This window comes from Homo sapiens, chromosome 14 (assembly GCF_000001405.40).
Source record: "Homo sapiens chromosome 14, GRCh38.p14 Primary Assembly".
Taxonomy (NCBI): Eukaryota; Metazoa; Chordata; class Mammalia; order Primates; family Hominidae; genus Homo; species Homo sapiens.
In genome coordinates, this window is record NC_000014.9 from 105,674,940 (window position 1) to 105,697,025 (window position 22,086).

The window sequence follows — 22,086 nt, forward strand, 5'->3', positions numbered from 1 at the left end:
ATGGGGGAGAAGTTTTGCTTGTATTTCCCCAGGAAAAAACCAGCTTCCAATTTAGTATCTACAACTTACAGAAGAAGTTGCCATCCACCAAGGAAGCAAAGCCACTGACCTGGGGCCAAATACAGGAGCTGACACAGTTAGCTAAGAAAAGCCTGAAAAAAACAAAGTCTACAGGTATATCCCGCAGCTCTGAAGAGACAGCGACCAGCGAGAAGGGGCCATAATGACGATGGCGGTTTTGTCAAAAGGAAAGGGGGCTATGTAGGGAAAAGAAAGAGAGATCAAACTGTTACTGTGTCTATGTAGAAAAGGAACACATAAGAAACTCCATTTTGACCTGTACCCTGAACAACTGCTTTGCCCTGAGGTGTTAATCTGTAACTCTGCCCCAGCCACTTTGCCCCAACCTGGAGCTCACAGAAACCTGTGCTGTATGGAATCAAGGTTTCAGGGATCTAGGGCTGTGCAGGACGTGCCTTGTTAACAAAGTGTTCACAGGCAGTATGCTTGGTAAAAGTCATCGCCATTCTCCAGTCTCGATGAACCAGGGGCACAATACACTGCGGAAAGCCGCAGGGACCTCTGCCCTGGAAAGCCGGGTATTGTCCACGGTTTCTCCCCATGTGACAGTCTGAAATATGGCCTCGTGGGATGAGAAAGACCTAACCGTCCCCCAGCCCGACACCCGTGAAGGGTCTGTGCTGAGGTGGATTGGTAAAAGAGGAAGGCCTCTTGCAGTTGAGATAGAGGAAGGCCTCTGTCTCCTGCCTGCCCCTGGGAACGGAATGTCTCGGTATAAAACCCGATTGTACATTTATTCTATTCTGAGATAGGAGAAAAACCACCCTGTGGTGGGAGACGAGACATGCTGGCAGCAATGCTGCCTTGTTATTCTTTACTCCACTGAAATGTTTGGGTGGAGAGAAACATAAATCTGTCCTATGTGCATGTCCAGGCATAGTACCTTCCCTTGAACTTATTTGTGACACAGATTCCTTTGCTCACGTTTTCTTGCTGACCTTCTCCCCACTGTCACCCTGTTCTCCTGCCGCATTCCTCTTGCTGAGATAGTGAAAATAGTAATTAATAAATACTGAGGGAACTCAGAGGCCGGTGCCGGTGCAGGTCCTCTGTATGCTGAGCGCCGGTTTCCTGGGCCCACTGTGCTTTCTCTATACTTTGTCTCTGTGTCTTATTTCTTTTCTCAGTCTCTCGTCCTACCTGATGAGAAATACCCACAGGTGTGGAGGGGCTGGCCCCTTCAGAATTCTTCTAGTTTTCTCTAATATCAGGCAACAACTCTGCAAACTAATTTTTCCCTCACCCTCTGACTTGGAATCAGTCAAATTTAAAACTGCCCTTTTCCTGAAGCCCTGTGAGCTGAAATGGGACAAGTTGATGTAAACTTCAGAGAAATCATCCCCACAGATCCTGTGCGGGCAGCTTCTGCAACACCTGACCTGCAAATCAGGAAGGCCCTTCAGCTGCCTACCTGGCTGCAGCTGAAGATGCTTCAGGCCCAGCGTCTAGAAATCTTCTGGCCTGGTGCCCACTGGGCTCAGAAACTGCATTTCTAAGTGTTAACCTTTGTGTTTCATTTATTTTCAGAGTCTCTCCTCTTCGAATGTCCAACTGCTAGCACCATGCGGCGAAATGTCCTCTTCTATCCAGTCCCAACAGAAAATCCAGCTGGTTCTTAATGAACGAAAGGCCACCCAACAAGAAAATGGACTTATATTGTTGGAGGGAAACGAGAATGTCTCCTCTTTCCTTAAACAGTGTGGACTGACAAAGATTCTCTGCTTGGCTAAACTGCAGTCGGGCTCTGGAAACTTCTCCTAGGCCGGCCTGCACTTCCTTGTAAGAAAAAGGCTTTAAAAAGTACCCGGTGGGGCCCGGAGCGGTGGCTCATGCCTGTAATCCCAGCACTCTGGGAGGCTGAGGTGGGCTGATCATCTGAGGTCAGGAGTTCCAGACCAGCCTGGCCAACATGGTGAAACCCTGTCTCTACTAAAAATACGAAAATTAGCTGGGTGTGGTGGCACGCGCCTATAATCCCAGCTACTCGGGAGGCTGAGGCAGGAGAATTGCTTGAACCCAGGAGGCAGAGGTTGCAGTGAGCCAAGATCGTGCCACTGCACGATGACACGTGCCACTGCCTGGTGACAGAGTGAGACTACGTCTCAAAAAAAAAAAAAAAAAGAAAAAAAAAGAACCCCCCTAAATCAGGTTAAAGACCCACTCTTGACATTTGATCACCCTTGATCCTGAGTTCCTCATCTTCCACCATCTCCCAGGTCTGATCACCCTGGTCTGTCTTCAGCAAAAATCTTCCTGGGCTAATTTAGCCAGAACCCTCCTTCCCCCCAATATTTCCTCTTGGGAATGTCCGTCCTCCGAGTTTACCCAGCTCCCTGGCTGTCAATCCCCGCCAGCCCATGCTGTGTTAAGAACTGAGCCCCATCTCTCTCCCGCATGGCCGTGGTCCCTGCTCCTGCGGCGGTGGTCCTGAATCACACCTGCCTCCGCATTGAACAACTATCATGGAATAATTTTTTCTTTAACATTTCTAAACACACTCTTAGGAGGCGCCAGCAGCCAGCGTGCGGAGTTAAGTGCCTGTGCCCTTTGTATGAAAGTGTCACCGTTGTCCTGGTCTTGAGGGGTGGCTTTCGGGTGTAAACGGCCGGCAGAGGTGAGTAGATGCTGGGAGGCTGCTCCAGGCGTCTTGTTTGCTCCAGGGTTCTTGAGACTCTCCTGTCTATGAGAACGTGCAGTGGCACGGGACGGCCGCCGGGGGGCTCCCGAGTCCGGCTCTGGAGTCTGTGGCCGCGCGAGTGCACCTGCCTGGGCCGGCCCTGACGGATTTTTTTTTTTTTTTTGATAGAGTCTCACTCTGTCTCCCAGGCTGGAGGGTAGTGGCGCGATGGCAGCTCACTGCAACCTCCGCCTCCCGGGCTCAAGCGATTCTCCTGCCTCAGCCTCCCGAGTAGCTGGGACCACAGACACCCGCCACCACGTCCAGCTAATTTTTGTGTTTTTAATAGAGACCGGGTTTCACCATGTTGGCCTGGCTGGTCTCTCCAACTCCTGACCTCAGGTGACCCACCCACCTCTGCCTCGAAAAGTGCTGGGATTACAGATGTGAGCCACCACGCCCGGCCTCCTTTTGGATGCTTCTAAAGTCTCTTTGCCTCTGGTGTTGGCAGCTCCATCGGCAAGCGTCAAGGTGTGGACGTGGAGTTTGCTTTTATTTATCCTGCTTGGGACTTGGCCTTGATCCTGACGCGTCCTGTTATTCAGCGATTTTGGAAAATTCCCAGCCACTGCCTCCCCCGACTCTGTTTCTCCTTTGGGCAGAAGAAGCCCTTGTGGGAGCCTCCGTCCAGCCTCCGCGGGGCTGCGCTCGGGCTGGGTGGCGTCTCCTGCTCTTTCTTCGGTGTTACCAGCTCCCGCTCCTGCGTGTCCTCTGCGCTGCCTGTCCCATCCATTCTTATTTTAGCCTCATCTATTACGGTTTTCAATTCTAGAAGTTCTTCGTAAAACTCTCAGGTCATTTCAAAATGCAATGTGCAGTAATTTCCCATTTTGCAGTAATATTTGAATAGCTTCTGTAAGTAAGTTTAAAAAATCTCTTGGCCGAGCGTGGTGGCCACGCTGTAATCCCAGTACTTTGGGAGGCTGAGGCAGGAAGATCATGAGGTCAGGAGATCGAGACCATCCTGGCTAACACGGTGAAACCCCGTGTCTACTAAAAATCCAAAAAAATTAGTCGGGCGTGGTGGCGGGCACCTGTAGTCCCAGCTATTCAGGAGGCTGAGGCAGGAGAATCGCTTGAACTCGGGAGGCGGAGGTTGCAGTGAGCCGAGATCGCACCACTGTACTCCAGCCTGGGCGACAGAGCGAGACTCCATCTCAAAACAAAACAAACAAAAAAACCCTCTGAAGCACACATTGCATATTCTATGTCTGATAACGCCGACATTTTGCTTTTGTTTGGGTTCTTATTCTATAGTTTCTTGTTTCACTGATTCTTGTTTCTGCTTCTTTAGGGCTTTTCTGATTTGTATGTGAGCTGGGTTCCTGGGATCCTGATCTGGGCGCGTCTTTTAGGCTTGCCTCTGAGGTCCGCTGTCCCCGCATGAGCGGACGGCAGAGCGCGCCTGCCTGGGAGCCCAGGAGGCTGCCGGGCCAGGGACCCCGGGAACCCCGGGAACCCCGGGAACCTCTCAGCAGCAGAACTGCAGTGGCACAAGACGGCCACCAGGGGGTCCCGAGCCGGTCTCTGGGGTCCCTGCTGGGGTTGAGGGGCTGTGGCTGCAGACGCGGACCTGGCAGGGGGACCCGAACCCCAACAGGGCCCTGACCGGCCCCAAGGCTGAGCCTGCCCTGTCCCACCAGCGCCCAGACCCCGATGTTGGGCCGGGGCCTTCCTTTCCTTGTCCCGGCCCTCTGAGGTTCGTCCCCGGGGTGTGAGCTGATTCTGAGCACACGGAGGCCTTCCTCCTCTCTGGGGCTCTGGAGCCCCTGGGGGCCTGCAGGGCCTGGGCCTGGGCCTGGCTGCTGTCCTCTGTGCTCAGGAGGGCTTCTCCCACCCACCCACTTCCGGGCACAGCCCCCAGCCCCACACCCAGCCGCCGGGAGGGCATCCCCAGGGGAGGACCCTCTGCTCCGGAGCCGCGTCCCTTGTCCTCCAGGGACAGTGGCCGGAGGCTGGTGCCTCAAGCTCGTGCGCCTCATGCAGCATCCCGTGGGTCCATTCGCGACCATAGTGAAGACCCGCAGGCCCCAGGCCCGAGCCGGCTCCCGGGCAGGCCGCGTTCTGGGGCTTCCGCGGGGACACTGGGCCACGCCAGGAGGAAGGGTCCTGACCAGGGTCAGGGAGCATCGGATGCTGCCGGCAGAAGTGGGGGGCGCGGGGCCCCACCGAGGAGCCCAGGCCAGCTTCCCCATCTGCCCCAGGTGCAGCCTTGCAAGGCCCCCAGGCCACAGCGTCCCCAGGTCACAGCGTCCCCACACCCAGGGAATGCAGGACTTTGGCAGAGGCTGGGATCCCAGACCACAGAGCCCCACAAGCTGATGCCTGTTCGCGGATGCCACAGCCACCTCCGCGGCAGGCGCTGGGGAGGGGAGGGGATCACAGTGCTGGACACGGACCGGGCCCCAGCCCTGAGCCCAAGGCAGAGCCGGGATCCGGCCCCGAGAGCACGCCTGGCCCTGCCCCTGGCCCTGGCCCTGCCCCTGCCCCTGCCCCTGCCCCTGCCCCTGCCCGTGCCCCTGCCCCTGCCCCTGCCCCGAGCCCGGGAAGCGCCGCGTGGTCGGCGGCGTTCGATGCTGCTGTCGGCCACACGGGGGCAGCAGAGCCTCAGCGGCTGCCGCAGCGGGTCCAGTTTCCGGCCGCCGGGGTTGGGCTGGCGGTGCCTGGGGGTCCTCCCCAGAGGCCCGCGTGTGAAACGTCCGAGTGCGCTGGGCGCTGGACACGGAGATGGGTGCTTGGGCCACGGGCCTGGGGGACCCCACACGGCCGGCTAGGCAGGCCCAGACAGCCCAGGGTGGGGGTTCCATGGGGGCAGGAGGGGAGAAGCCTGGGCTGTGGAGCAGCTGGGACGTCCGGGGAAGGGCCTGGGGGTCAGAGGGGCGGCTCCCGGGACAGGGAGGCACGTGGAGGGGCGGGGTTTGTGGCAGCCCCGGAGCCGCCTCTGAAGCTTCCATCTGCAGCCTCCTGTGGGGCCGGGTCTGCTTCTCTTGCTGGGCACCCACATCCACCCCCGAGGGGTGTGCGACAACCCCCATTCCAGCCCACTCAGATGGTCTCTAGCCCCTCCCGTCACAGTGAACCCCGGTGTCGGTGCGAGACGCCTCCGTGTATTCCCGGACGTCCCTCTGCAGGCCCATCCCCACCTCACAGACAGTCACACCCTTCCAGGCCTTGCCCCATCCCCAGTCCCTGGCCTCACCATCGCATTGCAGGGAGGCGGGCATATGCAACCTCCATGAAATAAAGCCCTAACGGAGAAGGCCAGAGTGGGAACTTCGTTTCCACCAGCAGGTGGGGCAGACACCCTGGCTAGCCCCGGGGAAAACCAGTAAAAATACTGGATTTAAATCCCTTCGAATTCTCCTTTCTACAGGCAAGCTGTTTAGTGAGAAAGAAAGGGCCCTGCAAAGATCCTCCCCAGGTGGACGGGCAGCCCCCAAGCCTGTCTTGAGCTCCCGGACGCTGCTCCTGGGGAAGGGCCTGCCGAGGACAGGGGCCAGTGGGAGCCCCTGCCTGACCACAGGCTGTTCTGCAGCCCAGGTCAGGAGCGCTGGTGCCTGCCGTGTGGGGTGGCCCTGGTCCTGACCGCCTGGGGTCCCAGGTGGTCCCGGGTTGTAAGAGTCTGTGGTGCTTGTGAAAAGCTTGCACATCCTTCCAGGGGAGACTCGCGCGTGGGGCGAGGGCAGGAGCAGGAGCTCATAATCACACAGGAAAACAGGAAGCCCTGAACCCCGGGCTCGGGAAGCGGCGGGGCGTCAGGTTTGGAGGGGCTTCGTCTCCCACCACCTCCCCATTTGCACCCCCAGTCCCTGACCCGCATCTTTCCTCACCTGGTCACTGTCCCCCACCCTGTCCCCCACCCTGTCCCCCACCCTGTCCCCTGTCTGCCATCTCCCTCCCAGGAGGGGGCTGCTCCTGCCTAGCACGCGGTGCCCTTCCTCCCACGTCGCTTAATTATATTTGAAAATACAACATTTGAAACGTGCAAAGAATGGAGGGGCTTTTCTGTGAGTGCAGGGTGCCCCTCCCGTGTCCCCCCACCAGGGGGCTTCCCCGTCCAGCCCCGGCTTGTCCCTTTCATTTTAACAAAACGTCCTCACCACAGTGCATGTGTGTTTTATAAAAGCAGTATTGGAAGTTAATGCTTTTAATACAGAAGAAAAAAAAAACCCGAAACAATATAACTGTCCTAAGTGATGTTGAGTGGGGAGTGCCGGGTGGGAGTTGAATTGCGGGACCACGATCCCTCCACTTCCAGCCGGTCCTGGGGGTGTCATGTGACCCCTTCTGACCAGCCCTGGGCAACCTCTGGATGGACGGGTGGGGAGGGGCCGTGGAGGGGATCTGGGACCAGGAGAGAGAGAGCGTGGCCAGGCAGCCCCAGGAGGGCCCTCCAGAGCCCGAGTGGGCCTGCGTCTGTGGTCCCCAGGTGCGGTCCCTCGAGGTGGCGTGTGGGCCCCCCAGGCCCGCGCCCTGCGGTTCCAGCGCCTCCCCAAGCCTCTGTCCCTGCAGCCCCCACCCCCCCTGCACTTTCCTCTCCTTTGTCTGTGCTGGTGGTCCCTCTCTCACTGTCCCACACAACACCGCACCGCCCTCCCCCAGGAAAGCCTCCACCTTTTCTCTTAGTGAAATAGAAGCCCTTTCAAGGTGACATGTCACCTACTCACAGAACAGTGCCCCAACCCAGGACGCAGCCTGAGGCCCCTCAGGAGCATTGTGTGCCCCCAGGCCTGTCCCCAGTGGTCCCCACCGTGGGCCCACCACAGCTCCTGCTGTCAAGGGCAGCCTGGGTCTGAGCCCCGTCCCCCTGTGCAGGGCACGGGTCTGGGGGCTGGCTTGTCCCCTGCTGGGCGGTGGGCGGCCTGGGGTGTCTCCCAGACACGCTGCCTGCGGCCGGCTGGTGTGGACTGGGCCTGGTGGGCCAGGAGCTGCCCTCACTATGGCGACAGGATCGGGCTGCCAGGCTCCTGTGGGGGCTCAGCAGGAGGGGATGGGAGACGGCAATGCTCACGCCTGACCTGCTGCCCTTGGGGGAGCCGTGGTGCCACCTGGCCGGCCTGCCTGAGAGACCCCCACGGCTGGTGTGGGAGCCTGGGGGAGCCCTGGGCAGGTGGTGGGGCAGTGGGCAGAGGTGGCTGCAGAGGGACAGGGCCTGGCCAGGACGTCACCCTGAGGCCACTGGAGAGGTCAGCAGGGGCCCAAGGAGATGCAGGGATTGGCAGCTGGGGAGCACAGGGGTACCCCTGAGCCGTGGTACCCAAAGGTCATGAGCTGAGAGGGGAAAGGCCCAGAGCCGCTGGATGGTGGATTCTGGGCACCTGATCCGCAGGGCGTGGTGGCCCTCTGAGGGACCCCTCTGACAGACTGCAGGCAAGCTGTCAAGGGTGTGTATGTGTGAGGGTGTGTGAGAGTGTGTGGGTGTGTGAGAGTGAGGGTGTAAGGGTGTGTGTGAGAGAGTGTGTGAGGGTATGTGTGGAGTGTGTGACGGTGTGTGAGGGTGTGTGGGTGTGTGAGGGTGTGAGGGTGTGTGAAGTTTTCAGACTGTGAGGGTGTGAGGGTGTGTGAGAGTGTGTGAGTGAGGGTGTGAGAGTGGGGGGGTGTGAGAGTGTGGGGGTGTGAGGGAGTGTGAGGGTGTGAGGGTGTGTGTGGATGTGTGGGATGTGTGGGGTGTGTGTGCATGTGTGTGGATGTGAGGGTGTGTGTGGATGTGTGGGGTGTGGGGTGTGTGTGGATGTGTGGGAGTGTGAGGATGTGTGAGGGTGTGTTTGGTGTGTGGGGTGTGTGTGGATGTGAGGATGTGTGGGGTGTGTGGGGTGTGGGGTGTGTGTGGATGTGTGGGGATGTGAGGGTGTGTGTGCACGTGTGGGGTGTGGGGTGTGTGTGGATGTGTGAAGGTGTGAGAGTGTGAGGGTGTGTGGATGTGTGGGGTGTGTGAGGGTGTGTGAGGGAGTGGGTGTGTGGTGTGTGAGGGTGTGTGTATGTGTGTGAGGATGTGTGTGGATGTGTGTGGATGTGGGGTGTGGGGATGTGTGGGGATGTGTGGGAGTGTGAGGATATGTGAGGGTGTGGGGATGTGAGGGTGTGTGTGGGTGTGTGGGGTGTGTGTGGATGTGTGGGGATGTGAGGGTGTGTGTGGATGTGTGGGAGTGTGAGGATGTGTGAGGGTGTGAGGGTGTGTGTGGGGTGTGGGGTGTGTGTGGATGTGTGGGGGTGTGTGGGGATGTGAGGGTGTGTGTGGATGTGTGGGGGTGTGTGGGGTGTGGGGTGTGTGAGGGTGTGGGGATGTGAGGGTGTGTGTGGATGTGTGGGGTGTGTGGGGTGTGTGTGGATGTGTGGGGTGTTTGAGGATGTGTGTGGATGTGTGGGAGTGTGAGGATCTGTGAGGGTGTGTGGGGATGTGAGGGTGTGAGGGCTTGTGGGGATGTGTGGTGTGTGTGAGCGGCTGTGTGCACTGGCCGAGTTGCCTGCTGCTGTCCTGGCCTGGGGCCAGGCGTGTGCCAGCTCCTGTGTTTGTTGTGTGCCTGGCGTGTGCTGGGTGCCCGAGTCGGGCTGGGTGTGTCTGGGTGTGGCCCTGGGGTGTCCCTTTCTGGACGTGTGTCTCCGTGCAGAACGGAGGTCCTCGAGTTCCCAGAAGGAAGCCCCCAGCCCCAGGCGGGTGCCTGAGAATAGACCTGGGGCCTGTGGGCGTGGCAGGGCTGCCCCTCGGCTGCTCATGGACCCCCCGGACACCAGTCCCACCCTGTGTCTGTGATGCTCACTCTCTGAGCCTTCCCTGACCCCATGTGCCAAAGCCTGGCCCAGCAATGCCACGTGTGCATGTGTGAGCGTGAGCTTGGCAGCGGGTGGGAGAATGTGTGCGTCAGTGTGTGAGCGTGAGCACGGCCTGTGCTTGTCTGGCTGTGGGACTGGGGGCCTCTGTGACGCTGTGAGCCCTTGTGGACCTGAGTGTGGGCCGTGTGAGCTGTGTGCACGTGGCTGTGGCTGAGTGTGAGCCTCTGAGTGTGTGTGTCTGTGCCGTGTACCTCTGTGTGTCTGTATGTGTCTGTGTGTGCCTCTGACTTTATGTGTGTCTGTATCTATCTCTGTGTGTGTCTCTGCGTGTGGTAGCGTGTCTGTGCTTGTGTACCTGTGTCTGCGTGTGTCTCTGTCTCTGTGTGTGCCTATGCGTGTCTGTGTGTGGTAGTGTGTCTGTGCTTGTGTTTCTGTGTCTGTGTGTCTCTGACTCTGTGTGTGCCTATGTGTGTCTGTGTGTCTCTGTGTGTGTGGTAGTGTGTCTGTGCTTGTGTTTCTGTGTCTGTGTGTGTCTCTGTCTCTGTATATGTGTCTATGTGTCTGTGTGCCTGTATGTGTGTGGTAGTGTGTCTGTGCTTGTGTGTCTGTGTGTTTGTGTGTGTCTCTGTCTTTGTATGTGTGTCCGTGTGTGTGTGTGTGAGGTATATCTGTGTTTGTGTGTCTCTGTGTCTGTGTGTGTCTCTGTCTCTGTGTGTGTCTATGTGTATCTGTGTGTCGTGTGTGTGTGGTATGTGTGCTTGTGTTTCTGTGTGTTTGTGTGTGTCTGTCTCTGTATGTGTGTCTAGGTGTCTGTGTGTGTGTTAGTGTGTCTGTGTGTATTGTGTGTCTTTATGTCTCTAAGTCTGTCTATGTGTCTGTGTCTCTGTGTGTTTGTGTGTTCTGTGTGTCTCTGTGGGGTGTGCATGACTATATTTGTGGGAGGCTGTATGTGCAGGAAGGGCCCCCTGAGCCCTGTCACCCGGGCTGCACCCTGGGGGTCTTCCCAGGGATCCTTTCCTCAAACTTGAGTCCTCCCTGGAGGGCTTAGGTTCCACTGAGGGGGTGGGCGCAGGCACAGACCCCTCCTCTAGGAGGCTGGGGTGGGGCTGTCCTGCCTGGCTGGGACACGGGTCACAATGTCCCCCCATGTGGTCCACCCTGTTCTAGGCACAGGGTGTCATCTCCCAGGGTCTCAGCTGCTGGGGTGATGGGCCCCGGACAGCCCCTGGGTGTGGGGTGGGGTCCTATGGAGGCCTCTGTGTCCCACTGAAGATGCAGGGCTGGGGTTGGGCAGGTCTGTTCTGGGGTGGTCTCGTGGGGCAACCCCAGAGGGTCCTGAGGCCGGGGTAGGGTTGGGCGACCCCACCTAGGGTCTACGGGCTGAAAGCGCCTGGGTTGGCCAGGCCTGGGCACAGGGGAGGACAGAGGTTTGGTGACAGGTGGGCTGTGAGGGGCCCAGCAGGTGCACGGAGGAAGCTCTGTCCCCAGGTGACCCACAAAATCCTCTTCCGAGGGTGCTGGGGGTCCTGTTCCTGGGGGCCATGCCTGGGACCTCCATGCAGGGGTCTCCTCCCTGGCCCAGCTCCCCTGGGGCAAGGTCCGACTTGTTACCCCCTCCACCAGGCAGTCCTCTGGGAAGTGCCCTGGGGCCTGGTCACTCTGGGCCTGGCCACAGCATTGGCCTGGACATGGGGTGTGGCTGGGGAGTGTGAATAGTCAGGAATCCTGCAAACCAGCTGCCTGGGTGCCAGCCTTCCCCCCACCTCCCCCAATGCAAATCGCCATCTCGGAGGTGGGTGGGGGTTTCCACACCACTGTCCCACCTGCTCTGTGGTTCCCATTTTCAGCATTTTTAGAAATATTTGCAAGAATGTGTTTGTGCCTGTGTGGTGGGGTGGGGGTGGGAGCTGCGGCCCGGTGCCCATGAGGTCTTGTTTTTCAGACTGGACGGGGGTGGGGGAGGGGGAGCTGCGGCCCCCCCACCTGCTAGTGTGTCCAGCCTCCTGAGTGGGGCAGCGAGGGTCCTGGCTGGGCCCCAGGGCATGACCCCCGATGAGTGTGAGGCGCTGAGGCCGAGTCTGGTCCTTGGCGAGGAGGCCCAGAAGGCCCAGGTGCCCGTCCTGAGCGTTATCCAGGGCCCTGCCTCAGGCCTCATGCCGGGGCCAAGCCCAGGGCTGGCTGGTGGCCACGCAGAGGTGAGAGGGGCGGGGAAGTGAGGCTGGGTTGGAGGAAAGCTGAGGGGCCCAGGCCTCCCACTCCAGCCCCCGAGGCAGACCCTGGCCCACCCAGGGACCCCCTCCCATGCACACAAGCACACACAACACGTATATGGGCATGCGTGTGCACACACACTCGCTGCAGCCCGCAGCACTGGCTGGCCCAGGTGTCCTCGGGACGTGGTCCACGCGGTGCTGACACGAGCTGGCCCTGAGTGCGGGCTCTGCGGGGTGCCATTCCCAGGCCCTGCAGGGGCACATGCGGTGTCGTGGGGCAGCAACTGTGACCTCTGCCCCGCAGACCCGGACATGCCGCCAGAGAGGCCAAGGCGTACGCTCTCCGAGCCTTCCCTGACCCCATGTGCCAAAGCCTGGCCCAGCAACGCCATGTGTGCACGTGTGTGAGCTTGGCAACAGGTGGGAGAATGTGTGTGTTAGTGCATGAGTGTGAGCATGAGCGTGTGAGATGCAAGCGTGTGTGCAGTGAGTGGTGGATGAGCTGGAGGTGTGCGGTTGTGCGTGATGCGGACGGGTGTGTAGTGTGGACAGGTGTGTGGGGTGGACAGGTGTGTGGGGTGGACAGGTGTGTGGGGTGGACAGGTGTGTGGTGTGGACAAGTGTGCAGTGGGCCTGGCTCATTGTCACCGCCAGGACAAGGCCTTTGTCCGCACTGATAGGGCTGAGCAGGTGGTCCAGGCTGTGGTCAGGCAGCAATGTCCTGGCGTGGAGCAACAGGGGAGGCAGGTTCATGACACGGGGCAGGACAGTGGCCAGGGGCTGCAAGCGTGACCTGCGGGAGGGGGTGCCTGTGTGCGGGCATGTCTGTGTGTGTCTTTATGTGTCTGTGTGTGTGTGTGTCTCTATGTGTGTCGGTGTGTGTCTGTGCATCCACGTGCATGTGTGTCTGTATGTGTGTGTGCATATCCGTGTGTCTGTGTCTTTATGTGTCTGTGTGTGTATGTGTTTGCCTGTGTGTGTCTCTGTGTGTCTGTGCATCCATGTGGATGTGTGTCTATATGTGTGTCTCTGTGCACATATGTGTGTGTCTGTGCATGTCCGTGTGTGTCTGTGCATTTCTGTGCGTGTGTGTCTCTGTGCATGTCTGTGTGTCTGTGTGTGTGTGTGTCTGTGCATGTCTGTGCATGACTCTGTGTGTGTGTCTCTGTGCATGTCTGTGTGTGTCTGTGCGTTTCTGTGTGTGCATGTCTGTGTGTCTGTGCGTTTCTGTGTGTGCATGTCTGTGTGTCTGTGCGTATGTGTATGTGTCTGTGCACGTCTCTGCGTGTCTGAGTGTCAGGGGATGGCCTGTGCTTGGTTCGCAGTGCAGGCGGGTTTGCTCACACCTCCCCCGCAGGGCTGAGCCTCCAGACTCCCAGCCCCATACAGGCCCCAGCCCAGGGGGGAGCCGGGCGGCGCTTGGGGCCTGGAGCCCTGACCCGGGGAGTCGGGGCAGGACTAGCGTGGAGGCTCTGGTGACTCAGCCTCCTCGTATGTGTGCACTGCAGTTTGTCCTCCGTGCATCCCTTGGTGGACACTTGTGGGGCTTCCTGGGAGGCGGCCCCAGACTTGGACAGATTCTAGGACCCAGAGGGATGGGGCAGAGGCAGGGATGACAGAGACAGACACAAAGCAGAGAGACGGAGGCAGAGGGAGACATGCAGAGTCACGGAGACATCCGGGCTCAGGCCCCGACTCTCAGGGGCCACCCCCAGGGAGGACACGCAGTGCACCCCCACACCCACACCTCACACACACACTCACACCCACATACCCCCATCCACACACACCCAGAGACACACAGACACCCACAGCCACACACTCACACTCACGAACTTATCCAGTCACCTTTCCAGCGAGGCAGGGATGACAGAGACAGACACAAAGCAGAGAGACGGAGGCAGAGGGAGACATGCAGAGTCACGGAGACATCCGGGCTCAGGCCCCGACTCTCAGGGGCCACCCCCAGGGAGGACACGCAGTGCACCCCCACACCCACACCTCACACACACACTCACACCCACATACCCCCATCCACACACACCCAGAGACACACAGACACCCACAGCCACACACTCACACTCACGAACTTATCCAGTCACGTCCCACACACTCCCACCCAACCCATACACCACACACCTACACAACTCATACACCACACACTCACACTCACAAACTATATACCACACACTCACACACCCATATACCAAACACGCACAACCCATACACCACACACTCACACTCACAAACTATGTACCACACAGTCACACACCAACCATACACCTATATACACTCACACACCCATATACCACACACACACAGCTCATACACCACACACTCACACTCACAAACTATATACCACACACTCACATACCCATATACCACATACACACAACCCATACATCAGACACTCACACACAACCCATACACCTATACACACTCACACAACCCATACACCTATACACACTCACACCCATATACCACATACAACCCATACACCACACACACACAACCCATACACCTATACGCACACACCCACACACCACACACACAGCCCATACAGTACACACTCACACCACAAACTATGTAGCACACACTCACACATAACCCATACACATATACACACACATATATAACACACACACACACAGCGCGCGCACATATACACTCACACACCTATTTCCCACATACAACACATACCACACACACAACCCATACATATATACACACACACACATACACCACACACAGCGCATACACTATATACACACCACACTATATATACCACACTCACATATATAACACATACACATATACACACACACCCATGTCCCACACACACACCCCGTGTACATACATACACACCCATACACAAAACACTCACAACCCCTACCCCTATATATACACACACACACCCCCCATACACACACAGAGCATACACTTACACACACTCATAGAGCACACACACACAACCCATATACCACACTCTCACACAGCCCATATACCTATACACACTCACACGCCCATACACCACACATTCACACAACTACACCACATACACCCACAAACTATATGCTACACACTCACACACAGACCATACACCTATATACACTCTCACAGCCATATACCACACACAACCCATATACCACACTCTCACAAACTTTATGCCACACACTCACACAAACTATATACCACACTCACACACAACCCATACACCTATACACAATCACACAACCCATACACCACACACAACCCATACACCACAGACACATTCACAATCTATATACCACACAAACCCATACATTTATACACACTCACACACCCATATACCACACACTCACACACAGCCCATATACCACACGCTCACACACAAATGATACACCTATACACACACCCATATGCCACACACACAACCCATACACCACACACACAAACTCATACACCACACACACAACCCATAGACCACAAACACACACAAGCCATAACCACACACACACACAGCCCATATGCCTATACACATTCACACACACAACCCATACACTGCACACACAACACATACACCTATACACACTCACACTCACAATTCATACACCACACACTCACACACAACCCATACATCTATACATAAACTCACACACAATCCATATACCACAAACACACACAACCAAACACCTATACACACACACACAACTCATACAGCACACACACAACCCACAGACCATAAACACACACAAGCCATAACCACACACACAACCCATACACCTATACACACACTCATAAACAAGCCGTACACCCCCCCCCACACAACCCATACACCACACACTCACACACAACCCATACACTTATATACACATACAACCCATATACCACAAACTCACACTCAACCCGTACACCTATATACACACACAACTTATACACCACACACTCATACACAACCCACAGACCACATACACAAACCATACCCACACACTCACAACCCATACACCTGTATACACACTCATAAACAAGCCACACACCTACACACACTCATACACAACCCATACACCACACATTCACACACAACCCATACGCCTGTACACACACTCACACACATAACCCATATACCACAAACTCACACACAACCTATACACCTATACACACATACAACCCATACACCACACACTCACACACACATATACCACACCACACACACAACACATACACGAAACACTCATACACACACGCATACACCACCCACACATACAACCCATACACCACACACACAACCCATACACCTATACACACACACAAACTCATGTACCACAAAAACACACAACACATATACCTATACACACATACAACCCATACACCACACATTCATACACAACCCATACACCACACACACAACCCATAGACCTATACACACACAACACATGCAACTATCACACACTCACAACACATACACCTCCTATACACACACACAACACGCACACTTCCTATACACACAACCCACACGCCTATACACACTCACACCCTCACTCACACTCACCCTCACATTCATATACTCACTAACACACTTCCACACTCACACCCTCACCCACACTTACACCCCCACCCACACTCAAACCCCGACGCTAAGTCACTGTCACATTTGTACCCATGCTCACACGCTCCCACCCTCACACGCTCACCCCCCACCAGCTCCAGGGCTCACTGGTGTGTGCCCACGAAACCCTGCCTCGGGGGTCCCCTCGGTAAGCTGACAGCGCTCTGCTCATCGGTGGCCTGGGGAAACAGGGCCCACCCAAAGCCTGGCTCAGGAAAGGCTCCAAACACACATGCACATGGCCCAGAAACAGATGGGCAGAGCTCAGCCTGCAGCTGGGAGCGGCGGAGCGGGTGCTGGGCCAGAGTCGGGGCCTGTCTGTGGGTGGGGGGCACGGCAGCACGGGCCCACCTGCACACCCCAGGCCTGGCCCCCGAGGTCACTGGGCCACCACCCAGCCCTCGCCCTGTTCCCCGTCTGTGCTGGCCGGGGCAGGACTCTGAGCCTCGGGGAAACCCACAGATACACACGGGACCCCGAACATCGGGCTGGGGAGGTTGGGGTGGGTAACAGCATGCCAGAGGCAGGAGCAGGAGGTCCAGGACCCTGCGCACTGCGACCCCAGCCCTGGGGGCTGAAGCCCAGGACAGCCTCAGGTCTCCCAGGAGGGACTGGACAGTGGGGGATGGTCAGAGAACAGGACAGCCAGCAGGGTGCAGCCTGAGGACAGGGATGGACGCTGGGAGGTCAACAGGACAGGGGCAGGGGCTGTGGAGTGTGAGAAGGTCCTGGAGGGCCTGGAGAACCTGTGGGTCAGTGTCTGTGGGAAGGAGGCCAGGAGCAGCCCTGAGTGGCCAGGCTGGCAGGGGTGAGGAGGTGGGGGCAGTGAGGTTAGGGTGACCGAGACAGTGAGGCCTCTGGCCAGGGAGGGGACCTTGGCTGGGCTCTGACTGAACCCAGGGCTCCTGGAGAAGGGGCCCCAGGCGGGGATGAGGATGTGGGCATCTGACTCCATCAACAATGGGGCTTCCGACACGCACAGCCTGGGCCTCGGAGACCTGGGCCCTGACCCGCCTCCCCCTGGCACTGGGCCGGGTGCCGTGTGTGGTCCCCAGTCCCCGCAGCACCTCCCCCACACTGGTCACGTTCCAGGGCCCCTCTGAAGCACCTGCTGTGAGGGGATGTGGGGAGGGGACAGGGACTTGGGCCTGAGCTGCCGGGTCGGGGGGGAGTCGGGGACCCAGGCTCAGCGTGTGGCTGGGGACCAGACAGATGGGGATGGAGGAGGACACGCCCTGTACCCACTGCCTGCCAAGGGGCTGGACCCACGCCCAGTCTAGGCCATGTCCCCCGAGGCCTGTGAACCTTCACCCTGAGCCACTAAAACATTCAGGAGCTTTGAAAGCAGCCCCCGTCCTTGTCACTATGCGATGACTCTGAGCATCACGCTGTCCCTGCTGGATCCACCCTCCAGCCCCAGCGAGGGAGGCTGGGCCCCGGGCAGCAGGTGGTGAGGGCAGCGGGCACAGCCACGCTACAGCACACACAGGGTCTCAGGGACGCGTCCACCACAGCCCGTGCACAGGCTCCTCACGGCACTGAGTTCACCCGGGGCGCGGGCCGTTTGTCCTCAGGAGTCCGGCTGTGCCCTCCGCCCCCAGCCCTGTCCTGCTGAGGCTGCAGCTGGGTCCCGGGGCACAGGGCGGCCCTGAGCACCTTGTCATGTTGGTCCCTGTCGGGTGGGCTGCTGGCTGTCTGTGGAGCTGGCAGAGCCGCGGTTCAGCCTTGGAGGCCGGTCCTGGGGCCCAGCAGCCGTGGGGAGCACTGCCCAGTCCCGTGCCCACAGGGAATCACCTGGGCTGAGGAAGGGCCCACACGCCGACGGGATCGGGGTCAGGCAGCGCACGCCTGGCACCGAGATCCCACGTCCCGAAGTGGGGACACGGCCCAGGGGCACTGTTCCGGGAGGGTCTCAAGATGGGGTCTCCTATTTCAATCTTCACTCCTTCTGCACCTGTTAGCTGGGAACCTTCTAGAAGGAGGGGTGTCCTCAATCATGGGGTGGTTGTGAGCTGAGCACAGATCATGCAGGAAGGTACATGGCTTCTCCTTCACCAGGAAAACAGTGCAGAGAGACAGAGACACAGAGACAGAGACAGAGTAACAGAGAAAGACAGACGAGAGAGAGACACAGAGACACAGACAGAGTAACAGAGAAAGAGAGACAGAGAGACACAGAGACAGAGACAGAGTAACAGATAGAGTCACAGAGAGACAGAGAGAGAGACAGAGTAACGGAGAAAGACAGAGACAGAGAGAGACACAGAGACAGAGACAGAGTAACAGAGAAAGACAGAGAGACAGAGACACAGAGACAGAGACAGAGTAACAGAGAAAGACAGAGAGACAGAGAGAGACAGAGACAGAGTAACAGAGAAAGAGAGACAGAGAGAGACACAGAGACAGAGACAGAGTAACAGAGAAAGACAGAGAGACAGAGACACAGAGACAGAGACAGAGTAACAGAGAAAGACAGAGAGACAGAGAGAGACAGAGACAGAGTAACAGAGAAAGAGAGACAGAGAGAGACACAGAGACAGAGACAGAGTAACAGAGAAAGACAGAGAGACAGAGAGAGACACAGAGACAGAGACAGAGTAACAGAGAAAGACAGACAGAGAGACACAGAGACAGAGACAGAGTAACAGAGAGAGACAGAGAGAGACAGAGACAGAGTAACAGAGAAAGACAGAGAGGCAGAGAGAGACACACAGAGACAGAGACAGAGTAACAGAGAAAGACAGAGAGACAGAGACAGAGAGAGAAAGAGAGACAGAGAAATAGAGACACAGAGATACAGACAGAGACAAAGACACAGAGACAGAGACAGAGAAACAGAGAGACAGAGACAGAGAGAAACAGAGACACAGAAAGAGACATGCAGACACAAATAGAGACAGAGATGAGGAGTTACAGAGAGACAGAGACACAGAGACAGAAACAGAGTAACAGAGAAAGAGAGAGACAGAGACAGAGAGAGACAGAGAAATAGAAACACAGAGATACAGACAGAGACAGAGAGAAAGACACAGAGACAGAGAAACAAAGAGACAGAAACAGAGAGAGAAACAGAGACACAGAAAGAGACATGCAGACACAAATAGAGACAGAGATGAGTTACAGAGAGACAGATAGATAGAGACAGAGATGGAGAGACAGAGACAGAGAGAAAGAAACACAGATCCAGAAAGAGACATTGACAGAGACAGAGAGAGAAAAATAGGCAGAGAGAGAGAGAGAGAAAAACAGAGACACAGAGACAGACACACAGACACAGAGACAGAAAAAGACAGAGATAAAGTTACAGAGAGACAGAGATACACAGAGACAGAGAGACAGATAAAGAGAGACAGAGATATAGGCAGAGACAGACAGAGAAAAACAGAGATAGAAACAGAGAGACAGAGATAAAGTTACAGAGAGACAGAGACCAAGACAGAGATAAAGAAAGACAGAGACAGAGTGAGAGAAACAGAGGCAGTAAGAGATAAAGAGAGTTACAGAGACAGAGATACAGAGAGATACAGAGAGACAGAAAGAGAGATAGAGACAGAGATAGAGATGAGAGAGACAGAGATAGAGACAGAGCAATAGAGATAAGAGAAAGACAGATACAGAGAGTGAGAGACAGAGAGAGATAGAGACAGAGATAAGAAGAGAGACTGAGATAGAGACAGAGAGACAGAGAAAGAGAGTTAGAAAGGCAGAGAAAGACAGAGACAAAGAGAGACAGAGAGGGCTGAAGAGAAACAGAGACAGACAGCAACAGAAAGACAGAGATATATAGAGGGGAAGAGACAGAGACAGAGAGACAGAGAAAGACAAAAAGAGACAGAGAAAGAAACAGAGAGAGAGAAAGAGAGGTATAAGGAGAGACAGAGAGAGGGAGAGCTACAGAGAGGAAGAGACACAGACAGAGAGACATAGAGAAACACACACAAAATGACACAGAGGCAGAGACAGAGATGAAGAGACAGAGAGAGAGAGACAGAGGCAGAGAGACAGAGAGACACACACAGGAAGAGACAGATGAGAGAGACAGATATAGACAGAGATACAGAAAGAGACCGAGAGAGACATACACAGGGACACGAACAGACAGACAGAGATACAGAGGCAGAGAGACAGAGATATAGACAGAGGCATGGAAAGACAGAGAAGAGAGAGACACACACACAGGGACACAAAGAGGCTGAGATATAGACAGAGATACAGAAAGACAGAGATAGAAGCAGAGAGACAGAGAGAGACACACAGGGACACGAAGAGACAGACAGAGAGACAGAGGCAAAGAAAGGGACACAGCAAAGGGACAGGCACAGAGGGAGGGATAGACGGGAAGAGAGACGGAGGGATAGAGACAGACACGGGGGAGAGATGGATGGAGAAAGGAGGCACCGACGGAGACACACAGAAAGAGAGAGAGGCCAAGACAGGCAAGATGGCGGGACAAAGCCCAGCAGACGGGCTTGACAGAGATGAGTCAGAGACACCGACAATGGGACAGAGACAGAGATTCGGGCAGGGAGATACCTTCAGAGAGGCAGAGAGACAGGGAGACAGAAGGGTAGCCAGAGACAGGGACAGCGGGAAAGATGGAGCTGGAGGCTCAGATGGAGACGGGTGTGACAGAGCTGGGAGCAGGGAGGCCACAGCCCACGCAGTCCGGGTGCTGCACCCACCACGGCCCCCAGGCCCGGAGACCCAGCCCCCATCACCATGTAACCTCAGGCCATGTCCCTGGCCCTGCTGAGCCTCAGTGTTCTCTCTGTACAGTGGGGACCACCAGGCCATGAGGGTGGGGGAGGTGCGGGCCTGCACCAGACCGGCCCTGTACCAATCGGGCTGCCTGTGCCCAGGCCACCAGGGCCACCTCCGCTCAGCCTCCTTGGGGCTTCTGGGGTGGGGGTTGGCTGGGGGCCCTGCCAGCGTTGGCTCCCCTGCCCTTCCTGCCAACCTGGGGGCTGCCCCTGGGTCCTGGTCCCAAAGATGGCAACAAGTTCAGAACCACTGAATTCAATAAAGTTGACGTTTGCAGGGTGGTCCCAGTGTCAGTAACCCAAGTGGGCCTGTCCTGGGGGAGGGGGCGGGTGTCCCCGAATCTGGAGGCCTGAGCCAGCCTGGCCACGCTGGGGGAGGGGGCGGGGGGTGTCCCCGAATCTGGAGGCCTGGGCCAGCCTGGCCACACTGGGTGGGTGGCGGCTGCAGCTGCAGGTGGAGAATCGTGCAAGCTATTTCTGGAAACAGCCTCAGAGGGCAAGAAACATGTTTTCGGTGTGGAACAAACAACCATTTGCATGTGCCCTGAGGGCCAAGTCTGCCCAGAATGAGTCACTCAAGGAGAAACAGATCAGAGCCCTCACACCTGCCTGGGGGAGGGGTGGGCGCCGCTCCAGGGACCTGCTGTTGGGCCCAGAGATGCCGAAAACTCAGCCCACCCGGCCGCCATGGCAGGACCCACTTTCCTCACCAGCTTGCCCCTAGGTGGGACCCACAGGACCCCTGGGAAGCCCTCAGCAGCCCTTGGGCAGGTCCCACCCTGCAGAGAACGCGAAGGCTCAAAGGCCCACTCGGGCTGAGACCGCAGGGAGCCCTGGGCCGCTTGGATGCAGAGCCCTGAGGCCCGAGGCTAGGCTGTGGGAGGGAGCAGCAGTGAGACCCCCACTGGCCCTCAGGGCTCACAGGTGCCCCGGTGAGGGTGCAGGGAGCGGGGGTGCCTGCCAAGCAGGAAGGCGGAGGGCCCAGGCTGCCGTGGCACC

General features: G+C 57.0%; 1 gene, besides 2 other annotated features; it reads right to left on the reverse strand.

Annotated features, from left to right (window-relative positions):
• The window catches only part of IGH (immunoglobulin heavy locus), a 1,293,408-nt gene that overhangs the window by 88,503 nt on the left and 1,182,819 nt on the right, over positions 1–22,086 (reverse strand).
• Positions 11,183–11,543: an enhancer (HS4 enhancer).
• Positions 21,341–21,715: an enhancer (HS12 enhancer).